The following is a 24,668-nucleotide window of genomic DNA, read 5'->3' as shown; positions in this document are numbered from 1 at the left end:
AGACGATCTGCCCTGCTCCGCCTCCCAAAGTGCTGGGACTACAGGCATAAGCCACAGCGCCAGGCCAAAGATTAAATTAGAATTTAATACAAAAACTAATTAACAGCCGGGCAAGGTGGCTTATGCCTGTAATCCCAGTACTTTGGAAGGCCGAGGTGGGCAGATTGCTGAGGTCAGCAGTTCAAGACCAGCCTGGCCAGCCTGGTGAAACCCCATCTCTACTAAAAATGCAAAAAATATCCGGGCATGGTGGTGGGCACCTGTAATCCCAGCTACTCGGGAAGCTGAGGCAGGAGAATCACTTGAACCCGGGAGGTGGAGGTTGCAGTGAGCCGAGAGCGCGCCATTGCACTCCAGCCTGGGCAACAGAGCAAGACTCCGTCTCAAAACAAACAAACAAACAAACAAACAAAAACAATTAATTAAAATCATGGTAAACAGAAACTGAGATGTACAGTGACATGTAAAGGTCTCCTTCCTCATCCCATAAAACCCAATTTCTCACCACAAAAACATCCACTCCTTACACCTGTTGCCTTTCAAATACTTTTATTAAAGAACTGGTGGGGAAGGGAAAAGTGTGACAATTCAGAGTAGGAATGAGGATGGGCATTAAAAGAAAGGGACCGAAAGCCCAAGACTGAGCTTCATCCACCTGTCAGCATTTCTGCCCGCCTGGCCAGCCTGTCTGCCTGCAAGGCCTTGGCCAGTCTCTCCCTGGCTTTCTTCACCCTCCTGGCCTGTCTCCGGATATCTGCAGGAGTCACCAATTGGCCAGAGAGGGGCGGTGGGAGCTGACAACCCATTCCTGGGGTTGGCCCCCCTGCCACAGCTGGAAACCGCCCAGGGGTGGGCTCAAGCGGGCTGCGCACACGCTCAGCACCAGCTCTGTCCAGAGATTCACCGGCCGTCCCCGGTGCAAGGATACTTAAGACGCTCTCCAAATGCAGTGGACTTGAACCTTCTCCTTGGCTGCTGCAGGGCTGCAGGGCCTGCAGTCTCCGGTAGGCGCAGAGTTGCTGCGGCTTCTCCAGGTGCTCGTCCCCTTTTCTGCGTCTGACCTGGTTGTCAGGATGAGACCTGATCCTTGTCACCGGCCTCCGGAAGATGCAGCTGGTGAGTCTCATGGGGAGAGCAGACCTCGCAGCTCGTCTCCGATGGGCCTTGGCCATGTGGATTTCTCGTTTCTTCTGTAAAGCCCAGGGCATCATGTTCCTTTTGAGCTTCCCCTTTCAAAAGAAAAGAAAATGTGAAATTTCAACCAAATGGAGACAGGAGAAGATCAGCTGTGGGGGGCTTCTCTCAGCTCAGTGGAATCTTCCCACCAGCCTCTCTTTCTGGGGAAATGTGTCTCAAATGGCAGTGTACATCCTCAGCACCTGCAGGGTTTGCTGAAGTCAGATATGTGGACCTGAACCCAAGTAAGTCTGGGGTGGAACCTAGAGTCTGCATTTCTCCGTGTGACCCTGATGCTGCTGGCAGGAGCTCCAGGCATTGACACTGGGTCCTGGGACCTCATCGGGCTGATGCGAGTCAAGGACTAAATGCTCAAGGTCATGACCCAGGGTCAGTTCCAGACCTTGTCCCTCCTCATCCTCCTCAGAGGACACCCCTCTCTTCTCTTCCCTGCCACTGTCAGCTACACAGATGCTGGTGCCTCCTAACCCATCCCCAACAGGACACCGGGATCCCAGACTTCCCTGTTCACCAAGACCTCACGCTTCTCTGTATCTCTTTCTGCTGTGCTTCAGGACACAACGTCATTTTCATAGCTCCTTGACTCTCTGGTTTCCAAAGAAATCCTGCACTCGCCACCTTAAATACTCACTGCCACACCCAGATCCCACCTTCACCTGAACACCTCCTGCTCATGAAGAAAAACCTCAGAAACACCATGTTGCTTTCTGTTTCTAATAAGCTCAATTAACTAGAGTTACACCATGAGAGAATCTTTTGATGACATACTGAGAAAGATGATTAAGCCCCTCCTAAGATTTGAAATCCTTTCTTGCTCTAAATCAATTGGAAGACTCTAGTCTCATAAAGCTGTTTCAGATACAAACATAAAGCCTTCATTTCTGTCCTTCTCATTTCATTTCTGTTGTCCTGGCATTAAGATTAATACTACCCCTTACACGACCCAAGGTGTTCCCCTTTGGAGGGAAAATTATTTAGTCTCCTTAGTTACAGGGCACTTATGATGTGCCAAGCTGTGCAGTAGAACCCCTGATCCAGAAGTAAACTGCAGAAATCACCACTCTGTTGATTTTCATCTTGGTGAGAAGGAAGACATAATAAACACACTAAAAACAAATTTCCGATAGGGTATCAGATATAATTAAGTTCCATGATGAAGAAGAAGGGAGAGACAGAGAGGGATGGAGGGAGGAGAAACAGAGAAACAGAAAAGAAAGAAATTCACTACAATGAATCATGACAGTGAGTTTAGGGAAGGACTAACCAATCATGATATTTAACCAGAGAACTAAAATTTTTTTTTAAAGGGACCAAGCAATTTCTGGTTCAAGAACTTTCCAGAGAGAGAGACAATTTGAAGACTGCAAGGCCAAGTAATACCTCTTTTCCTTCTTAGTGATGTTGTTGGACTTTTAAAAAATCAGGGCTATTATCCCCAGATAGCTCCGTGAACAAAAAATTAGAATATTGTTGAATATTTTGAATATTACTTGAGTATTACTCAACAAATATTAACACCTAGGGTATAAGTTTCCACGAGATAGCATCTAGTTTTGAGAACAACTTGCTAAACTGTGAAGATGTTTTACAGAAAGAAAAAGGAATACAAATGGACATTATTTTGGTCAATAGTCAATAAGGATCCCATACTCACCAGAACAGGCAGGCTTGGAAAAGAGGTGAACGCAGGTTCTCCCATAGCTGTAGAGTTCCTCCTGCTGACCCCACTCCTGAGGCACAGACAGCCCTTGGCTTGCCGGAAAATGCAGTGGCTTCTGCATCTAGCTCCTCTTTTATAGAGGGAGTGATAATGCAATCAGTGGATAATCCATAGGGAACGCCCTGTCTCCACCCATTGGATTTGAAGCATTTCTAAATCTTTATACAGAAACCAATATGGTGTTACCAACACAGAATGTCAGTAGAAAAAGAATTTAATCCGTGTGTGTGGCGGGGTGGTATTTACAGTTAATATCGGCATTTTAGATATGTTTCCTTTTCCTCCCATTCTCTCAAACATCTTTGAAAGCATTCTACGGAAATAAGAATGGAATTGTCGGCCGGGTGCGGTGGCTCAATCCTGTAATCCCAGCACTTTGAGAGGCCGAGTCGGGCGGATCACCTGAGGTCAGGAGTTCGAGACCAGCCTCAACATGGAGAAACCCCGTCTCTACTAAAAATACAAAATTAACTGGGCATGATGGTGCATGCCTGTAATCCCAGCTACCCGGGAGGCTGAGGCAGGAGAATGGTGTGAACTTGGGAGGCAAAGGTTGCAGTGAGCCGAGATAGTGCCACTACACTCCAGCCTGGGCGACAGAGTGAGACTCCATCTCAAAAAAAAAAAAAAAAAAAAAAAAAAAAAAAGAGAGAAGAAACAAAAAGAAAAACACCTAATAAATAAACAGACCTAATAAAAAAGAAATACAGTCTCAGCAGCCTTGGTCTATGCAGTGACTACTCAGTTTTTTCCTATTATTTTTCATGATGTTTTCATTGTATAAATCTTCCTGGTTTGATCTTTGAGGAGGCAGACAGATGCTGGCTATTTTACCAATTTGGACCTGGGGCTAGGAAGTTTAAGACACAATTAGCTTACGTATTTAATCACATTGTGGCAATTTCAATGCACCGATGCCTCCCCTGCAAACTCCAATATATAGACACAATATACCGCGCTCTAGCCTGGGCGACAGAGTGAGACTCCATCTAAAAAAAAAAAAAGAAAGATCTCCTATTAATGAAAATGCAGAGAGAAATGGGTGTTAGAAAATCATATTGGAAAAGATATTTGCATGATGTGCATCCAGTAAAGTACATCAAGCCAGAATACAGACTAGAAAGATGTCCATCAAATGAAAAAAAATACTAAAAATTGATGTGCAAAATGAGTGGAAAACTTCAGTAGGCACTATTGAAGAGAGAATAAATAAATGGTCAATACAATCCTGAACACATGCCCAAATTCTGTTTAGCTTCAGATAAACGCTGATGAAAAATCACTATGAGATACTCATATACACTTCTGTTTGGCTAAAATGAAAAAATAGCAATGCCAAGTGCAGACATGGCTATGGAGCAATCATACCATTCACGTGTAGCCAGTGAGAGTTTAAATGGGAAGAAATGTACTTTATTTGTATCCCAACCTGAACGTACATTGGAATCTCCTGGAGAGTTTGAAAAACTAATGGTAGCACACACCCCTACACATTTTTATTCCACTGATGTTGGATGCAGCCTAGGCTATAGGAATTTTACAATCCCCTAAAGACCAAAAGGACAGCCAAGGATGACACACCACTTCCCTGGTTGGTTTGGAGTCTGTGGTTTTGAACTTTGGTTTGCAGAAAACACACCTGGGAGTGTTTTCACACCTGGGTGCCTTCCAGACCAGTGTCTCCGGATGCCTACGGGAGGGGCCAGGAAATCAGAAATCATTTATTTATTTATTTATTTATTTAGAGTCTCCCTCTGTTGCCCAGGCTGGAGTGCAATGACGTGATCTCGGCTCACTGCAACCTCCACCTCCCGGGTTTAAGCAATTCTCCTGCCTCAGCCTCCCAAGTAGCTGGGTTTACAGGCCCAAGACACCACGCCCAGCTAATTTTTTTTTCTTGGAGACAGAGTCTTGCTCTGTTGCCCAGGCTGGAGTGCAATGACGTGATCTCGGCTCACTGCAACCTCCACCTGCCAGGTTCAAGCAGTTCTCCTGCCTCAGCCTTCCAAGTTCCAAGTAGCTGGGATTACAGGCGCCTGCCACCACATCCGGCTATTTTTTGTATTTTTTTTAGTAGAGACGAGGTATCACCACGTCGGCCAGGCTGGTCTCAAACTCCCGACCTCAGGTGATCCACCTGCCTCAGCCTCCCAAAGTGCTGGGATGACAGGCATGAGCCACCACGCCCAGCCACGCCCAGCTAATTTTTGTATTCTTGGTAGAGTCAGGGTTTCATCATGTTGGCCAGGCTGGTCTTGTCCTGACCTCAAGTGATCTGCCCACCTCAGCCTCCCAAACAGAATTTATTGTTATTATTATTTTTAAGAACTCCAAGTCCTGCCAGGGCAGGGTGGTTTACACCTGTTATCCCAGCACTCTGGGAGGCCGAGGCGGACAGATCATTTGAGGTCAGGAGTTTGTGACCAGCCTGGCCAACTTGGTGAAACCCCATCTCTACTAAAAATACAAAAATTAGGCCGGGTGTGGTGGCTCACGCCTGTAATCCTAGCACTTTAGGAGGCCGAGGTGGTTGGATCACTTGAGGTCAGGAGTTTAAGACCAGCCTGGCCAACATGGTGAAACCTCATCGCTACTAAAAATACAAAAATTAGCTGGGCGTGGTGGCAGGTGCCTGTAATCCCAGCTACTCAGGAGGCTGAGGCAGGATAATTGCTTGAACCCAGGGGGCAGAGGTTGCAGTGAGCCAAGATCGCACCAGTGCACTCCAGCCTGCACGACAGAGCAAGACTCTGTTTCGAAAAAAAAAAAAAATACAAAAGTTAGCTAGGCTTGGTGGTGGGCACCTGTAATAACAGTGACTCGAGAGGCTGAGGCAGGAGAATTGCTTGAATCCGGGAGGCGGAATTTGCAGTGAGCTGAGATCGCACCACTGCACTCCAGCCTGGGTGACAGAGCCAGATTCTATCGCAAAAAAAAAAAAAAAAAAAAAAAAAGGAACTCTAAGTCCTTCATTTCTAAGTCAAGAAGAGGACATTTCTGTCATTTCGGGGGTCTCAGATTTTGCAGCTCATTTGAATTTCACAGTAAAATTTAAAAGGACTGGTGTCTGGATCCCAGGCAGGATCATTTGCATCCATATAATGGAGTTTGCTGAGGTGCTGAGGGAGACATCAGTACCTTGAAATTGCCCTACAGGATTAAATCTGTAAGCTAATTGTGTCTTTTTTTTTTTTTTTTAATTTGAGACGGAGTCTTGCTCTGTCGCCCAGGCTGGAGTGCAGTGGCGCGATCTCAGCTCACTGCAAGCTCTGTCTCCTGGGTTCACGCCATTCTCCTGCCTCAGCCTCCCGAGTAGCTGGGACTACAGGCCCCCACCACCACGCCCAGCTAATTTTTTTTGTATTTTTCAGTAGAGACGGGGTTTCACAGTGTTAGCCAGGACGGTCTCAGCTCCTGACCTCATGATCCTCCTGCTTTGGCCTCCCAAAGTGCTGGGATTACAGGCGTGAGCCACCGCACCCGGCCCTAATTGTGTCTTAAACTTCCTAGTCCCAGGTCCAAATTGGCAAAATAGCCAGTATTTCTCTGCATCCCCAAAGATCAAACCAGGAGGATTTACACAAGGAAAAGATTGTGAAAAATCATAAGAAAAAACTGAGTAGTCACTGCAGAGACCAAGGCTGCAGAAATTGTATTTTTTTTATCTGTTTATCTATTAGGTGTTGGGTGTTTGTTTGTTTGTTTTGAGACAAATTCTCACTCTCACCCCAGCTGGAGTGCAGTGGCGTGATCTCAGATCACTGCAACCTCCACCTCCCAGGTTCAAGGGATTCATGTACCTCAGCCTCCCAAGTAGCTGGGATTACAGGTGCCCACCACCATGCCTGGCTAATTTTTGTATTTTTAGTAGCAACAGGGTTTCATCATGTTGGCCAGGCTGGTCTCAAACTCCTGGCCTCAACCAATTCACCTGCCTCGGCCTCTCAAAGTGCTGCGATTAGAGGCGCGAGCCACTGCACCCAGGTGTGTGGGGGTTTTGTTTGTTTGATTGTTTGTTTGTTTTTTGAGACAGAGTTTCGCTCTGTTGCTCAGGCTGGAGTGCAGCGGCGCTATCTCGGCTCACTGCAAGCTCCACCTCCCAGGTTCACGCCATTCTCCTGCCTCAGCCTCCCAAGTAGCTGGGACTACAGGTGCCCCCCACCATACCCGGCTATTTTTTGTATTTTTAGTAAAGACAGGGTTTCACCGTGTTAGCCAGGATGGTCTTGATCTCCTGACCTCGTGATCCACCCGCCTTGGCCTCCCAAAGTGCTGGGATTACAGGCGTGAGCCACTGCGCCCAGCCTGTGTTGTTTTTAATTGTATGTATTTAAGGCATACATGATGTTTTGATGCACGTATATGTAGCGAAATGATTACTACAATGAAGCAAAGGAACATATCCGTCTCCTGATGTAATTACCTTTGTGTACGTGTGTGTAGAAAGAGTAGCTGAAATCTACTCTTTCGGCAAATTCCCAGTATACAAGGCGGTATTCCTGAGGTTGTTTTATGGGGTGGAAGTTTGCCACAGATTGGCCATAAGCGGGAGTTTATATCTCAGTCTCTTTTCCTCAATTGTTATTGCCATAGAACTTACATAGAGCAAAGTGCAAAAAATCAGACACATACATCTTCACGAACTTTCACAAACTGAACGCACTCATGCCCAGCACTGAAATCAATGAATAGAATAGCGGATTCATCCCCAGGTGCCTTTTCCTGCTACCCCATCCTGCCTCCCACAAAGGCACCCTCTGTTGTAACAGCACCTAGGATTAGTTTGGCTGGTTTTTGTTTCACGTGTAGGGAACCACATGGTATGCACTGTCTTGGGTTTGGATTAACCTCAGCTTTGAGAGATCAAGGCTTAAGGTTGTGCCGGTTGTCATTTGTGAGTTCTGATTGCTGTGAGAAGATCCGATGGGTGCAGATGCCCCAGTATTTATTCATTCTCCTGCTGTTCATTGGCTGGTTTCTGACAAGAGCTATTATGACTGCAGGTTCTGTGCCCCGCAGAACATGAAATTGGTGGGCACGCATGTACAATGTTGAGATAAATGCTGTGTGCAAGGGAAGAGGGTAGACGTTTATACGGCTTTTGGGGTTTGTTTGAGACGGAGTCTCGATCTGTTGCCCAGGCTGGAGTGTAGTGGCACGATCTCGGCTCACTGCAACCCTCGCCTCCCAGGTTCAAGCAATTCTCCCACCTCAGCCTCCCAACTAGCCGGGATTACAGGCACCCACCATCAGGCCTAGCTAATTTTTGTATTTTTGTGGAGATGGTGTTTCACCATGTTTGCCTGGCTGGTCTTGAATTCCTGATCTCAGGTGATCTGCCTGCCTCGGCCTCCCAAAGTGCTGGGATTACAAGCTTGAGCCACCGCCTGTTTGTTCTTTTGAGACAGTCTCTCTCTCACCCAGGCTGGAGTGCAGTGGCGCAATCTTGTCTCACCGCAACCTCCACCTCTGGGTTCAAGCAATTCTCCTGCATCAGCCTCCCGAGTAGCTGAGACTACAGGCGTACGCCACCATGCCTGGCTAATTTTTTTGTATTTTCAATAGAGAGGAGGTTTCACCATGTCGGCCAGGCTGGTCTCAAACTCCTGACCTCAAGTAATCCGCGCGCTTCAGCCTCCTAAAGTGCTGGGATTACAGGCGTAAGCCACTGTGCCCAGCCTACAGCTTTTGTTTTTGAGACAGGGTCTTGCTCTGTCACCCAGGCTGGAGTGCAGTAGCTCAATCACAACTCACTACAGCCTTGATCTCCTGGGCTCAAGTGATCCTCCCACTTCAGCCTCCTAAGTAGATGGGACTACAGGCAGGCATCACCATGCCTGACAATGCTTATTTTTTATTTTTTGTAGAGATAAGGTCTTCCTATGTTGTCCAAGTTGCTTCTAGACTACTGAGCTCAAGCGATCCTCCCACCTCTGCTTCCCAAAATGCTGGGATTACAGGCATAAACCACCATGCCTGGCCCTATACAGCTTTAATAGATGTTTGCATATAGTTTTCCAAAGCGGTTATTCCAATTTAAACTCCCACTATCCTTACGGGAAAGACTGGTCCCTCCATAATCTAGTCAGCACTTGGTGTTTCTGCGTTTTTCCCTTTAGCTAAGTTGATATCTATATAATAGTATCTCATTGTAATTTTTATTTTTTTAGCATTTCCCTGAAGCTAAAAGGGTTAAACATTTGCTCAAATTTTGCTGGTCATTTAGGCCGGGCGCGGTAGCTCATGCCTGTAATCTCAGCAATTTGGGAGGCCAAGGCGGGTGGATCACTTGAGGTCAGGAGTTCAAGACCAGCCTGGGCAACACGGTAAAACCCTGTTTCTACTCAAAATACAAAAATTAGCTGGACGTGGTGGTGGGAGCCTGTAATCCCACCTACTCAGGAGGCTGAGGCAGGAGAATCGCTTGAACCCAGAAGGCAGAGTTGCGGCGAGCCAAGATCGTGCCACTGCACTCCAGCCTGGGTGACAGAACAAGACTCCACCTGAAAATTAATAATAATAATAATGATGATAATAATTTTTTACGGTCACTTGTTTATATTCTTTTGTGTAGGATCCATTCAAGTTTTTCACCCAGTTTCAAGTGTGTTTTCATTATTTTTCTCTGTTTGTTTGACATTATTCTCTTTTTTTTAAATATTAAGATTTTTTTTATATATATACTCTGGCTTGATGTACTTTCCTGGGGGTACAGGATCCAAACCTCTTCCCCCACTCCGGTTTTCCACGCTTTCTCTCTTACTGATGTATTTGAATGAATAGTTGCTCTTAATGTATCTTAATATGGTTCAAATTTGAATTTTCTCCTTTCTATTTAGAGTTTCATTGTATCAAGAAGGCAGATTATCTCCTCATTGACTGTGAAGCTGTTCTTCTACCTAGTTTTTAATTAAAGCTATTTACTGTGTTTTATACTTAGAACTGAAACTAAGAGTATAAGAAATTAGGCCAGGCACGGTGGCTCACGCCTGTAATCCTAGCACTTTGAGAGGCCAAGGCAGGTGAATCACTTGAGGTCAGTAGTTCGAGACCACCCTGGCCAACATGGTGAAACCCCGTCTCGACAAAAAATACAAAAATAAGCTGGGTGTGGTGGCATGTGCCTGTAGTCCCAGCTACTTGGGAGGCTGAAGCAGGAGAATCATTGAACCCGGGAGGCAGAGGTTGCAGTGAGCTGAGATCCCGCCACTGCTCTCCAGCCTGGGTGACAGAGTGAGACCCCATCTCGAAAGAAAAGAGAGAAAAGAAAGGAAGACAGGAAGGAAGGAAGACAGGAAGGAAGGAAGGAAGGAAGGAAGGAAGGAAGGAAGGAAGGAAGGAAAATTAAAATGAGACTGAACCTAGAAAAAAGGTAGATTAGCAAAGTGGAACAAGGTTCAAGAGCAAATATTCCCACCAAAGCATGAACAACATTGGAAACTTCAGAGACAAGTGGGATGTGATTAAAAGAAGAGTAGAGAGAACTTGGACAAGAATGGATATCAGAAGTGAAGGATACATATGCACCTTCCAAACCAATGAAAGACATCAACCCACAGATGCAATTGACTCCACACCCTCTAGGCAAAGGAAATACACAGGAAGCAATAATGAGCTACACTGTGGCCTACAAACCAACCACAACGAGAAAGAGTTTAGAGAATGTGGAAAGCAAAGAAGCAAGGAAAAGCCTGACAGCTGACATCTCAACACAGGTAAAATGAGATAGACATCAGTGGGGCACCATTTCTAATATGCTGAAAGAAATTTGTCAAACCAGACACCCGTACCTGACAGCAATATTGCCCCCAAATAAAGATGCCTAAATAAAAGTGTAAAGGAAAACAATTAGTTGTTAGCAGCATTGAATTAGAAGAAAAATACTAGAATGAATTCTCAAGTCCACAGGGAAATAATCCCAGATTGAATGCTAGAAATGCAGAAAGGAACAAAGATGAATGCACAAGATAAGCTGTAGGTAAATATTAGTGCATATTGCTTTATGAAGCAATACTAGAAATGTCTCCTGGAGAGTAAAATATGTGTAGAATTAATATGCATGAGAATGGTAATACAAAAGTCAGAAACAGCTAAAAAGAGAATTAAAAGTGTTCTAAAGTATTAGCATTTTGTGGGAGGGGTTAAAGTAATTAATTGTATCAGAGTATATGATTTAATTATTAGCATAACTACACAGATTTGTATGGCTGTAACTAGCAAGTTCATGGAGATAACAATAAAATAATAAACATATTTAATTCAAAGTCAGTCAAGTAAAGGCAAAAGGAACGTGAGTCAGTTAAGTCAAAACCTAGGAAAAATGAGATGATTGAAACAATTTCAAATTTACTGGTAATTATATTAAATGTAAATGCACGAAATAGAACTTTTTTTTTTTTTTTTTTTTGAGATGGAGTCTCACTCTGTCGCCCATGCTGAGCTGCAGTGGTGCGATCTCGGCTCACCGCAACCTCTCCCTCCCAGGTTCAAGCGATTCTCCTGCCTCAGCCTCCCGAGTAGCTGGGATTACAGGTGCATGCCACCACACCAGGGTAAGTTTTGTATTTTTAGTAGAAATGGGGTTTCACCATGTTGGCCAGGCTGGTCTCGAACTCTTGACCTCAGGTGATCTACCTGCCTTGGTCTCCCAAAGTGCTGGGATTATAGGCGTAAGCCACCTCTCCCGGCCAAAGTAGTAATTTCTTTGCAACAACTGTGTGATATATTCTATAGGATTGTGAATAAAAGTTTTGGGCTTTCTTTTCTTAAAGAACATTTAAATGGTCTTTAGTTGTTGTTATTAAATCAAATATTACGTGAACATTTATGTACATAGACAATTCCATTCCTATTTCTATAGAAAGTATTCAAAGATGTTTGGAAAACTGGGAGAAAAAGGGAAACATATCTAAAATGCTGATATTAACTGTAAATACCACCCCGCCACACACACATACACACGTATTCAATTCTTTCTCTACTAACACTCTGTGTAGGTAACACCACATTGGTTTCTGTATAAAGATTTAGAAATGCCTCAAATCCAATGGGCGGAGACAGGGTGTTCCCTGTGGATTATCCACTGATTGCATTATCACTCGCTTTCTCTATAAAAAGGGGAACCAGATGCAGAAGTCACTGCATTTTCCGGCAAGCCAAGGGTTGTCTGCATCTCAAGAGTGGGGTCAGCAAGAGAAACTCTACGGCTATGGGAGAGCCTGCGTTCACCTCTTTTCCGAGCCCACCTGTTCTGGTGAGTACGGGATATTTATTGATTACAGGAATGTCCATATGTGTCCTTTTTCCTTCTGTAAGACAGCTTTACAGTTAGCAGTGGGTTGTTCTTAAAACTGGATGTTGTGGAAAGTGATACCTCAGGTGGTAATATCTGTTGAATAATGTTCAAAGTATTCTCATTTTTGCCCATGAAACTGTATGGGGATAATAGCTTTGAATTTTTTTTTAAAAATCCAACATCACTAGGAAAGGGAAGAAGTATGATTTGGCCTTGCAGTCTTCAAATTGTCTCCTTCTCTGGAAAGCTCCTGAACCAGAAATTGCTTGGTCCGTTTTTTTAAAAAAACAAAAAACAAAAAAAATTAGTTCTCTGGTAAAATTTCATGATGAGTTGCTTATTCCCTAAACTCACTGTCACGATTCATTGTAGTGAATTTCTTTTCTGTTTCTCTGTTTCTCCTCCTTCCATCCCTCTCTGTCACTCCCTTCTTCTTCATCATGGAACTTACTTATATCTGATATTCCACCAGAAATTTGTTTTTAGTGCGTTTATTATGTCTTCCTTCTCACCAAGATGAAAATCAACAGAGTGGTGATTTATGAAGTTTACTTCTGGATCAGGGGTTCTACTGCACAGCTTGGCACATCATAAGTGCCCCGTAACTAAGGGGACTAAATAATTTTCCCTCCAAAGGGGAACATCTTGGGTCAGTATTAATCTTTATGCCAGGGGTACTGTAAGGGGTAGTATTAATCTTTATGCCAGGACAACGAAAAATGAAATGAGGAGGACAGAAACAAAGGCTTTAAAATGGAAAGTGCACTGATGAGGTTTGTGGGGGAAACAGCTTTATGAGACTAGAGTCTTCCAATTGAGTTAGAGCAAGAAAGGACGTCAAATCTTAGGAGGCGCTTGATCATCTTTCTCAGTATGTCATCAAAAGATTCTCTCATGGTATACCTCTAGTTAATTGAGCTTATTAGAAACAGAAAGCAACATGGTGTTTCTGAGGTTTTTCTTCATGAGCAGGAGGTGTTCAGGTGAAGGTGGGATCTGGGTGTGGCAGTGAGTATTTAAGGTGGCGAGTGCAGGATTTCTTTGGAAACCAGAGAGTCAAGGAGCTATGAAAATGACGTTGTGTCCTGAAGCACAGCAGAAAGAGATACAGAGAAGCGTGAGGTCTTGGTGAACAGGGAAGTCTGGGATCCCGGTGTCCTGTTGGGGATGGGTTAGGAGGCACCACCAGCATCTGTGTAGCTGACAGTGGCAGGGAAGAGAAGAGAGGGGTGTCCTCTGAGGAGGATGAGGAGGGACAAGGTCTGGAACTGACCCTGGGTCATGACCTTGAGCATTTAGTCCTTGACTCGCATCAGCCCGATGAGGTCCCAGGACCCAGTGTCAATGCCTGGAGCTCCTGCCAGCAGCATCAGGGTCACACGGAGAAATGCAGACTCTAGGGTCCACCCCAGACTTACTTGGGTTCAGGTCCACATATCTGACTTTAGCAAGCCCTGCAGGGGCTGAGGATGTACACTGCCATTTGAGACACATTTCCCCAGAAAGAGAGGCTGGTGGGAAGATTCCACTGAGCTGAGAGAAGCCCCCCACAGCTGATCTTCTCCTGTCTCCAATTGGTTGAAATTTCACATTTTCTTTTCTTTTCTTTTGAAAGGGGAAGCTCAAAAGAAACATGATGCCCTGGGCTTTACAGAAGAAACGAGAAATCCACATGGCCAAGGCCCATCGGAGACGAGCTGCGAGGTCTGCTCTCCCCATGAGACTCACCAGCTGCATCTTCCGGAGGCCGGTGACAAGGATCAGGTCTCATCCTGACAACCAGGTCAGACGCAGAAAAGGGGACGAGCACCTGGAGAAGCCGCAGCAACTCTGCGCCTACCGGAGACTGCAGGCCCTGCAGCCCTGCAGCAGCCAAGGAGAAGGTTCAAGTCCACTGCATTTGGAGAGCGTCTTAAGTATCCTTGCACCGGGGACGGCCGGTGAATCTCTGGACAGAGCTGGTGCTGAGCGTGTGCGCATCCCGCTTGAGCCCACCCCTGGGCGGTTTCCAGCTGTGGCAGGGGGGCCAACCCCAGGAATGGGTTGTCAGCTCCCACCGCCCCTCTCTGGCCAATTGGTGACTCCTGCAGATATCCGGAGACAGGCCAGGAGGGTGAAGAAAGCCAGGGAGAGACTGGCCAAGGCCTTGCAGGCAGACAGGCTGGCCAGGCAGGCAGAAATGCTGACATGTAGATGAAGCGCAGTCCTGGGCTTTCGGTCCCTTTCTTTTAATGCCCATCCTCATTCCTACTCTGAATTGTCACACTTTTCCCTTCCCCACCAGTTCTTTAATAAAAGTATTTGAAAGGCAACAGGTGTAAGGAGTGGATGGTTTTGTGGTGAGAAATTGGGTTTTATGGGATGAGGAAGGAGACCTTTACATGTCACTGTACATCTCAGTTTCTGTTTACCATGATTTTAATTAATTGTTTTTTTTTGTTTGTTTGTTTGTTTTGAGACGGAGTCTTGCTCTGTTGCCCAGGCTGGAGTGCAATGGCGCGATCTCGGCTCACTGCAACCTCCACCTCCCGGGTTCAAGTGATTCTCCTGCCTCAGCTTCCCGAGTAGCTGGGATTACAGGTGCCCACCACCATGCCCGGATATTTTTTGCATTTTTAGTAGAGATGGGGTTTCACCAGGCTGGCCAGGCTGGTCTTGAACTGCTGACCTCAGCAATCTGCCCACCTCGGCCTTCCAAAGTACTGGGATTACAGGCATAAGCCACCTTGCCCGGCTGTTAATTAGTTTTTGTATTAAATTCTAATTTAATCTTTGGCCTGGCGCTGTGGCTTATGCCTGTAGTCCCAGCACTTTGGGAGGCGGAGCAGGGCAGATCGTCTGAGGTCAGGAGTTCAGGACCAGCCTGGCCAATATGGCGAAACCCCATCTCTACTAAAAATAACTAATCAGGTGTGGGGGCGGATGTCTGTAATCCCAGCTACTGGAGAGGCTGAGGCAAGAGAATCGGTTGAACCAAGGAGGCAGAGGTTGCAGTGAGCCAAAATGGTGCCACTGTACTCCAGCCTTGGTGAAACTTTGTCTCAAAACAAAAATTCCAATTTAATTTTCAAATGAAATCCTTTAAAAATGAAATGAAATTCTGTAATTTTAAATGAAACGAATACATTACATTATAATTTGTTAAAAATGTATTACATTTTCATTTTTAAATTGAGTTTTCATTGTTTGAAATTTTCGATTTAGGGGTACATGTGTACATGTTTGTTACATGGATATATCGCTTAACGGTGGGGGTTGGTTTTGTAGTTTATGGGTTACCCAAATACTAATCATCGTACCCAGTAGCTAAGTTTTCAACCCATGGGTAAACTCAATTAACCTAGCCTGAAGGATTATTCAGTGTTTAGAGATTACATTTTCTCCCTATAGTATACGTTCTCAAGGCGAAGTTGGTACGTATCCCAAGATTTTTTTTTTAATGAAACATTTTTACCCCATTTACTCTGATGTGGTTATCAGACATTTTGTGCCTGTATCAAAATATCTCACATACCACATAAATATATACACATACTACGTCCCTGCCCGCTGTTTGACTTTGAGTTTCCTTACCTCTTTATCATTGATCGAAACATGGAATGGAATACTTCATGGTAATTATTTTATGCATCTCGGGTTAGGTGGAAACTACTGGTTGTTTTCACTCTAGCAGAGTTAGGGTGGCAGGAAGTGCCCATCAGCAGATGCTACTGCACACCAGCCCGGGCGACAGAGCAAGACTCTGTGTCTAAAAATAAATATATAATTTATATATAATTATAAATACATTATATATAATTTATATATAATTATAAATACATTATATATAATTTATATATAATTATAAATACATTATATATAATTTATACATAATTATAAATACATTATGTATAATACAATTATATACTATATAATTATATTATATACTATAATATATTTCTTATATAATTATATTATAATATAATTTATACGTGATATAATTATATTTTATATTATAATATAATTTATATGTTATATAATTATATTTTATATATAATATAATTTATATGTTATATAATTATATTATATATAATATAATTTATATGTTATATAATTATATTATATATAATATAATTTATATGTTATATAATTATATTATATATAATATAATTTATATGTTATAGAATTATATTATATATAATATAATTTATATGTTATATAATTATATTATATATATAATATAATTTATATGTTATATAATTATATTATATATATAATATAATTTATATGTTATATAATTATATTATATATATAATATAATTTATATGTTATATAATTATATTATATATATAATATAATTTATATATTATATACTTACATATATTATATATTAATATATAATTTATATATTATGTAATTATATATTATATATTATAATTATATTTATATATCATATTTATATAATTATATAATATAATTGTATAATATATACTATATCGGTATATTATATAATTATATATAATTATATATATTATAATTATATAATATAATATATATTATATTATATAATATATAATTATACATAACTGTATTATATATAATTATATATAATTATATTATAGTATATTATATATATTATATATAATTATATATTATTATATTATATATTATGTATAATATATATTTTATTATATTATATAGTATATATTATATATAATATATATAATATGTAATATATAATATATAATATATATAATATAATATAATTATATAAAATTATTTCATATTATATTATATTATATATTATATATAATATAGTTATGTATAATTATATATTATATAATATAATATATATTATATTTTATAATTATTATATATAATATAATATATTATATATATATAATATAATATATATATAATATATATTATATATAATATTATAATATATAATATATATATATAATATATATAATTATATAATATAATATTATATATATTATATTATAATAATATAATATATATAATATAATTATATATAATTATATATCATAATTATGTAATATACGTATATATTATATAATTATATTATATAATTAAATATATTACATATAATTATATAAATATAATATATAAATATAATTATAATACATAATATATATAATTATATAATATATAAATTATATTTTAATATATATAATTATATAATATACAAATTATATTTTAATATATAATATGTATAATTATATACTATATAAATTATATTATAATTTATAATATAATTAAATAACATATAAATTATATTATAATATATAATATAATTATATAACATATAAATTATATTATAATATATAATTATATAACATATAAATTGTATTATAATATATAATATAATTATATAACATATAAATTATATTATAATATAAAATATAATTATATAACATACATTATATTATAATATAAAATATAATTATATAACATATAAATTATATTATAATATAATTATATAAGAAATATATTATAGTATATAATATAATTATATAGTATATAATTTTATTATACATAATGTATTTATAATTATGTATAAATTATATATAATGTATTTATAATTATATATAAATTATATATCTATTTTTAGACACAGAGTCTTGCTCTGTCGCCCGGGCTGGTGTGCAGTAGCATCTGCTGATGGGCACTTCCTGCCACCCTAACTCTGCTAGAGTGAAAACAACCAGTAGTTTCCACCTAACCCGAGATGCATAAAATAATTACCATGAGGTATTCCATTCCATGTTTCGATCAATGATAAAGAGGTAAGGAAACTCAAAGTCAAACAGCGGGCAGGGACGTAGTATGTGTATATATTTATGTGGTACGTGAGATATTTTGATACAGGCACAAAATGTCTGATAACCACATCAGAGTAAATGGGGTAAAAATGTTTCATTAAAAAAAAAATCTTGGGATACGTACCAACTTCGCCTTGAGAACGTATACTATAGGGAGAAAATGTAATGTCTAAACACTGAATAATCCTTCAGGCTAGGTTAATTGAGTTTACCCATGGGTTGAAAACTTAGCTACTGGGTACGATATTCAGTATTTGGGTAACCCATAAACTACAAAAGCAACCCCCACCGTTAAGCGATATATCCATGTAACAAACATGTACATGTTCCCCTAATTCGAAAATTTCAAACAATGAAAACTCAATTTAAAAATGAAAATGTAATACATTTTTAACAAATTATAATGTAATGTATTCGTTTCATTTAAAATTACAGAATTTCATTTCATTTTTAAAGGACTTCATTTGAAAATTAAATTGGAATTTTTGTTTTGAGACAAAGTTTCACCAAGGCTGGAGTACAGTGGCACCATTTTGGCTCACTGCAACCTCTGCCTCCTTGGTTCAACCAATTCTCTTGCCTCAGCCTCTCCAGTAGCTGGGATTACAGGCATCCGCCCCCACACCTGATTAGTTATTTTTAGTAGAGATGGGGTTTCGCCATATTGGCCAGGCTGGTCCTGAACTCCTGACCTCAGACGATCTGCCCTGCTCCGCCTCCCAAAGTGCTGGGACTACAGGCATAAGCCACAGCGCCAGGCCAAAGATTAAATTAGAATTTAATACAAAAACTAATTAACGGCCAGGCAAGGTGGCTTATGCCTGTAATCCCAGTACTTTGGAAGGCCGAGGTGGGCAGATTGCTGAGGTCAGCAGTTCAAGACCAGCCTGGCCAGCATGGTGAAACCCCATCTCTACTAAAAATACAAAAAATATCCGGGCATGGTGGTGGGCACCTGTAATCCCAGCTACTCGGGAAGCTGAGGCAGGAGAATCACTTGAACCCGGGAGGTGGAGGTTGCAGTGAGCCGAGATCGCGCCATTGCACTCCAGCCTGGGCAACAGAGCAAGACTCCGTCTCAAAACAAACAAACAAACAAAAAAAAACAATTAATTAAAATCATGGTAAACAGAAACTGAGATGTACAGTGACATGTAAAGGTCTCCTTCCTCATCCCATAAAACCCAATTTCTCACCACAAAAACATCCACTCCTTACACCTGTTGCCTTTCAAATACTTTTATTAAAGAACTGGTGGGGAAGGGAAAAGTGTGACAATTCAGAGTAGGAATGAGGATGGGCATTAAAAGAAAGGGACCGAAAGCCCAGGACTGAGCTTCACCCACCTGTCAGCATTTCTGCCTGCCTGGCCAGCCTGTCTGCCTGCAAGGCCTTGGCCAGTCTCTCCCTGGCTTTCTTCACCCTCCTGGCCTGTCTCCGGATATCTGCAGGAGTCACCAATTGGCCAGAGAGGGGCGGTGGGAGCTGACAACCCATTCCTGGGGTTGGCCCCCCTGCCACAGCTGGAAACCGCCCAGGGGTGGGCTCAAGCGGGATGCGCACACGCTCAGCACCAGCTCTGTCCAGAGATTCACCGGCCGTCCCCGGTGCAAGGATACTTAAGACGCTCTCCAAATGCAGTGGACTTGAACCTTCTCCTTGGCTGCTGCAGGGCTGCAGGGCCTGCAGTCTCCGGTAGGCGCAGAGTTGCTGCGGCTTCTCCAGGTGCTCGTCCCCTTTTCTGCGTCTGACCTGGTTGTCAGGATGAGACCTGATCCTTGTCACCGGCCTCCGGAAGATGCAGCTGGTGAGTCTCATGGGGAGAGCAGACCTCGCAGCTCGTCTCCGATGGGCCTTGGCCATGTGGATTTCTCGTTTCTTCTGTAAAGCCCAGGGCATCATGTTTCTTTTGAGCTTCCCCTTTCAAAAGAAAAGAAAAGAAAATGTGAAATTTCAACCAACTGGAGACAGGAGAAGATCAGCTGTGGGGGGCTTCTCTCAGCTCAGTGGAATCTTCCCACCAGCCTCTCTTTCTGGGGAAATGTGTCTCAAATGGCAGTGTACATCCTCAGCCCCTGCAGGGCTTGCTAAAGTCAGATATGTGGACCTGAACCCAAGTAAGTCTGGGGTGGACCCTAGAGTCTGCATTTCTCCGTGTGACCCTGATGCTGCTGGCAGGAGCTCCAGGCATTGACACTGGGTCCTGGGACCTCATCGGGCTGATGCGAGTCAAGGACTAAATGCTCAAGGTCATGACCCAGGGTCAGTTCCAGACCTTGTCCCTCCTCATCCTCCTCAGAGGACACCCCTCTCTTCTCTTCCCTGCCACTGTCAGCTACACAGATGCTGGTGGTGCCTCCTAACCCATCCCCAACAGGACACCGGGATCCCAGACTTCCCTGTTCACCAAGACCTCACGCTTCTCTGTATCTCTTTCTGCTGTGCTTCAGGACACAACGTCATTTTCATAGCTCCTTGACTCTCTGGTTTCCAAAGAAATCCTGCACTCGCCACCTTAAATACTCACTGCCACACCCAGATCCCACCTTCACCTGAACACCTCCTGCTCATGAAGAAAAACCTCAGAAACACCATGTTGCTTTCTGTTTCTAATAAGCTCAATTAACTAGAGGTATACCATGAGAGAATCTTTTGATGACATACTGAGAAAGATGATCAAGCGCCTCCTAAGATTTGACGTCCTTTCTTGCTCTAACTCAATTGGAAGACTCTAGTCTCATAAAGCTGTTTCCCCCACAAACCTCATCAGTGCACTTTCCATTTTAAAGCCTTTGTTTCTGTCCTCCTCATTTCATTTTTCGTTGTCCTGGCATAAAGATTAATACTACCCCTTACAGTACCCCTGGCATAAAGATTAATACTGACCCAAGATGTTCCCCTTTGGAGGGAAAATTATTTAGTCCCCTTAGTTACGGGGCACTTATGATGTGCCAAGCTGTGCAGTAGAACCCCTGATCCAGAAGTAAACTTCATAAATCACCACTCTGTTGATTTTCATCTTGGTGAGAAGGAAGACATAATAAACGCACTAAAAACAAATTTCTGGTGGAATATCAGATATAAGTAAGTTCCATGATGAAGAAGAAGGGAGTGACAGAGAGGGATGGAAGGAGGAGAAACAGAGAAACAGAAAAGAAATTCACTACAATGAATCGTGACAGTGAGTTTAGGGAATAAGCAACTCATCATGAAATTTTACCAGAGAACTAATTTTTTTTGTTTTTTGTTTTTTTAAAAAAACGGACCAAGCAATTTCTGGTTCAGGAGCTTTCCAGAGAAGGAGACAATTTGAAGACTGCAAGGCCAAATCATACTTCTTCCCTTTCCTAGTGATGTTGGATTTTTAAAAAAAATTCAAAGCTATTATCCCCATACAGTTTCATGGGCAAAAATGAGAATACTTTGAACATTATTCAACAGATATTAACACCTGAGGTATAACGTTCCACAACATCCAGTTTTAAGAACAACCCACTGCTAACTGTAAAGCTGTCTTACAGAAGGAAAAAGGACACATATGGACATTCCTGTAATCAATAAATATCCCGTACTCACCAGAACAGGTGGGCTCGGAAAAGAGGTGAACGCAGGCTCTCCCATAGCCGTAGAGTTTCTCTTGCTGACCCCACTCTTGAGATGCAGACAACCCTTGGCTTGCCGGAAAATGCAGTGACTTCTGCATCTGGTTCCCCTTTTTATAGAGAAAGCGAGTGATAATGCAATCAGTGGATAATCCACAGGGAACACCCTGTCTCCGCCCATTGGATTTGAGGCATTTCTAAATCTTTATACAGAAACCAATGTGGTGTTACCTACACAGAGTGTTAGTAGAGAAAGAATTGAATACGTGTGTATGTGTGTGTGGCGGGGTGGTATTTACAGTTAATATCAGCATTTTAGATATGTTTCCCTTTTTCTCCCAGTTTTCCAAACATCTTTGAATACTTTCTATAGAAATAGGAATGGAATTGTCTATGTACATAAATGTTCACGTAATATTTGATTTAATAACAACAACTAAAGACCATTTAAATGTTCTTTAAGAAAAGAAAGCCCAAAACTTTTATTCACAATCCTATAGAATATATCACACAGTTGTTGCAAAGAAATTACTACTTTGGCCGGGAGAGGTGGCTTACGCCTATAATCCCAGCACTTTGGGAGACCAAGGCAGGTAGATCACCTGAGGTCAAGAGTTCGAGACCAGCCTGGCCAACATGGTGAAACCCCATTTCTACTAAAAATACAAAACTTACCCTGGTGTGGTGGCATGCACCTGTAATCCCAGCTACTCGGGAGGCTGAGGCAGGAGAATCGCTTGAACCTGGGAGGGAGAGGTTGCGGTGAGCCGAGATCGCACCACTGCAGCTCAGCATGGGCGACAGAGTGAGACTCCATCTCAAAAAAAAAAAAAAAAAAAAGTTCTATTTCGTGCATTTACATTTAATATAATTACCAGTAAATTTGAAATTGTTTCAATCATCTCATTTTTCCTAGGTTTTGACTTAACTGACTCACGTTCCTTTTGCCTTTACTTGACTGACTTTGAATTAAATATGTTTATTATTTTATTGTTATCTCCATGAACTTGCTAGTTACAGCCATACAAATCTGTGTAGTTATGCTAATAATTAAATCATATACTCTGATACAATTAATTACTTTAACCCCTCCCACAAAATGCTAATACTTTAGAACACTTTTAATTCTCTTTTTAGCTGTTTCTGACTTTTGTATTACCATTCTCATGCATATTAATTCTACACATATTTTACTCTCCAGGAGACATTTCTAGTATTGCTTCATAAAGCAATATGCACTAATATTTACCTACAGCTTATCTTGTGCATTCATCTTTGTTCCTTTCTGCATTTCTAGCATTCAATCTGGGATTATTTCCCTGTGGACTTGAGAATTCATTCTAGTATTTTTCTTCTAATTCAATGCTGCTAACAACTAATTGTTTTCCTTTACACTTTTATTTAGGCATCTTTATTTGGGGGCAATATTGCTGTCAGGTACGGGTGTCTGGTTTGACAAATTTCTTTCAGCATATTAGAAATGGTGCCCCACTGATGTCTATCTCATTTTACCTGTGTTGAGATGTCAGCTGTCAGGCTTTTCCTTGCTTCTTTGCTTTCCACATTCTCTAAACTCTTTCTCGTTGTGGTTGGTTTGTAGGCCACAGTGTAGCTCATTATTGCTTCCTGTGTATTTCCTTTGCCTAGAGGGTGTGGAGTCAATTGCATCTGTGGGTTGATGTCTTTCATTGGTTTGGAAGGTGCATATGTATCCTTCACTTCTGATATCCATTCTTGTCCAAGTTCTCTCTACTCTTCTTTTAATCACATCCCACTTGTCTCTGAAGTTTCCAATGTTGTTCATGCTTTGGTGGGAATATTTGCTCTTGAACCTTGTTCCACTTTGCTAATCTACCTTTTTTCTAGGTTCAGTCTCATTTTAATTTTCCTTCCTTCCTTCCTTCCTTCCTTCCTTCCTTCCTGTCTTCCTTCCTTCCTGTCTTCCTTTCTTTTCTCTCTTTTCTTTCGAGATGGGGTCTCACTCTGTCACCCAGGCTGGAGAGCAGTGGCGGGATCTCAGCTCACTGCAACCTCTGCCTCCCGGGTTCAATGATTCTCCTGCTTCAGCCTCCCAAGTAGCTGGGACTACAGGCACATGCCACCACACCCAGCTTATTTTTGTATTTTTTGTCGAGACGGGGTTTCACCATGTTGGCCAGGGTGGTCTCGAACTACTGACCTCAAGTGATTCACCTGCCTTGGCCTCTCAAAGTGCTAGGATTACAGGCGTGAGCCACCGTGCCTGGCCTAATTTCTTATACTCTTAGTTTCAGTTCTAAGTATAAAACACAGTAAATAGCTTTAATTAAAAACTAGGTAGAAGAACAGCTTCACAGTCAATGAGGAGATAATCTGCCTTCTTGATACAATGAAACTCTAAATAGAAAGGAGAAAATTCAAATTTGAACCATATTAAGATACATTAAGAGCAACTATTCATTCAAATACATCAGTAAGAGAGAAAGCGTGGAAAACCGGAGTGGGGGAAGAGGTTTGGATCCTGTACCCCCAGGAAAGTACATCAAGCCAGAGTATATATATAAAAAAAATCTTAATATTTAAAAAAAAGAGAATAATGTCAAACAAACAGAGAAAAATAATGAAAACACACTTGAAACTGGGTGAAAAACTTGAATGGATCCTACACAAAAGAATATAAACAAGTGACCGTAAAAAATTATTATCATCATTATTATTATTATTAATTTTCAGGTGGAGTCTTGTTCTGTCACCCAGGCTGGAGTGCAGTGGCACGATCTTGGCTCGCCGCAACTCTGCCTTCTGGGTTCAAGCGATTCTCCTGCCTCAGCCTCCTGAGTAGGTGGGATTACAGGCTCCCACCACCACGTCCAGCTAATTTTTGTATTTTGAGTAGAAACAGGGTTTTACCGTGTTGCCCAGGCTGGTCTTGAACTCCTGACCTCAAGTGATCCACCCGCCTTGGCCTCCCAAATTGCTGAGATTACAGGCATGAGCTACCGCGCCCGGCCTAAATGACCAGCAAAATTTGAGCAAATGTTTAACCCTTT

The 24,668-nt window shown here is 41.5% G+C and overlaps 3 protein-coding genes across 3 annotated transcripts; 1 reads left to right on the top strand and 2 right to left on the bottom strand.

Moving 5' to 3' along the window:
• Positions 1–534: 534 nt before the first annotated feature.
• On the bottom strand, positions 535–2,949 carry MBD3L2 (methyl-CpG binding domain protein 3 like 2). The gene is made up of 2 exons (NM_144614.4): positions 2,852–2,949; positions 535–1,229 (listed from the first exon to the last, which is right to left on the bottom strand). Exons 1-2 carry the CDS (start codon positions 2,894–2,896, stop codon positions 648–650), a joined length of 627 nt encoding a protein of 208 aa, NP_653215.2. The 5' UTR covers positions 2,897–2,949; the 3' UTR covers positions 535–647.
• Positions 2,950–12,090: 9,141 nt separating this feature from the next.
• Positions 12,091–14,521, top strand: MBD3L4 (methyl-CpG binding domain protein 3 like 4). Its single transcript, NM_001164419.3, has 2 exons — positions 12,091–12,170; positions 13,828–14,521. Exons 1-2 carry the CDS (start codon positions 12,126–12,128, stop codon positions 14,407–14,409), a joined length of 627 nt encoding a protein of 208 aa, NP_001157891.1. The 5' UTR covers positions 12,091–12,125; the 3' UTR covers positions 14,410–14,521.
• Positions 14,522–19,258: 4,737 nt separating this feature from the next.
• MBD3L5 (methyl-CpG binding domain protein 3 like 5) lies at positions 19,259–21,692 on the bottom strand. The gene is made up of 2 exons (NM_001136507.2): positions 21,614–21,692; positions 19,259–19,957 (listed from the first exon to the last, which is right to left on the bottom strand). The coding sequence occupies exons 1-2, from the start codon at positions 21,656–21,658 to the stop codon at positions 19,376–19,378; spliced, it is 627 nt and encodes a 208-aa protein (NP_001129979.1). The 5' UTR covers positions 21,659–21,692; the 3' UTR covers positions 19,259–19,375.
• Positions 21,693–24,668: the final 2,976 nt, after the last annotated feature.

Source organism: Homo sapiens, chromosome 19 (genome assembly GCF_000001405.40).
Source record: "Homo sapiens chromosome 19, GRCh38.p14 Primary Assembly".
Taxonomy (NCBI): Eukaryota; Metazoa; Chordata; class Mammalia; order Primates; family Hominidae; genus Homo; species Homo sapiens.
The sequence above is the reverse complement of the archived record's forward strand: the minus strand, read 5'-3'. Positions and strand labels throughout refer to the sequence as shown.

Bases quoted from the DNA above. Each gene is read 5' to 3' on its own strand.
- MBD3L5 (NM_001136507.2), bottom strand. From the start codon at position 21,658: ATGGGAGAGCCTGCGTTCACCTCTTTTCCGAGCCCACCTGTTCTG. The intron at 19,958-21,613 runs GTGAGTACGGGA...TTCTTTTGAAAG, and splicing joins TTCCGAGCCCACCTGTTCTG to GGGAAGCTCAAAAGAAACAT.
- MBD3L4 (NM_001164419.3), top strand. From the start codon at position 12,126: ATGGGAGAGCCTGCGTTCACCTCTTTTCCGAGCCCACCTGTTCTG. The intron at 12,171-13,827 runs GTGAGTACGGGA...TTCTTTTGAAAG, and splicing joins TTCCGAGCCCACCTGTTCTG to GGGAAGCTCAAAAGAAACAT.
- MBD3L2 (NM_144614.4), bottom strand. From the start codon at position 2,896: ATGGGAGAACCTGCGTTCACCTCTTTTCCAAGCCTGCCTGTTCTG. The intron at 1,230-2,851 runs GTGAGTATGGGA...TTCTTTTGAAAG, and splicing joins TTCCAAGCCTGCCTGTTCTG to GGGAAGCTCAAAAGGAACAT.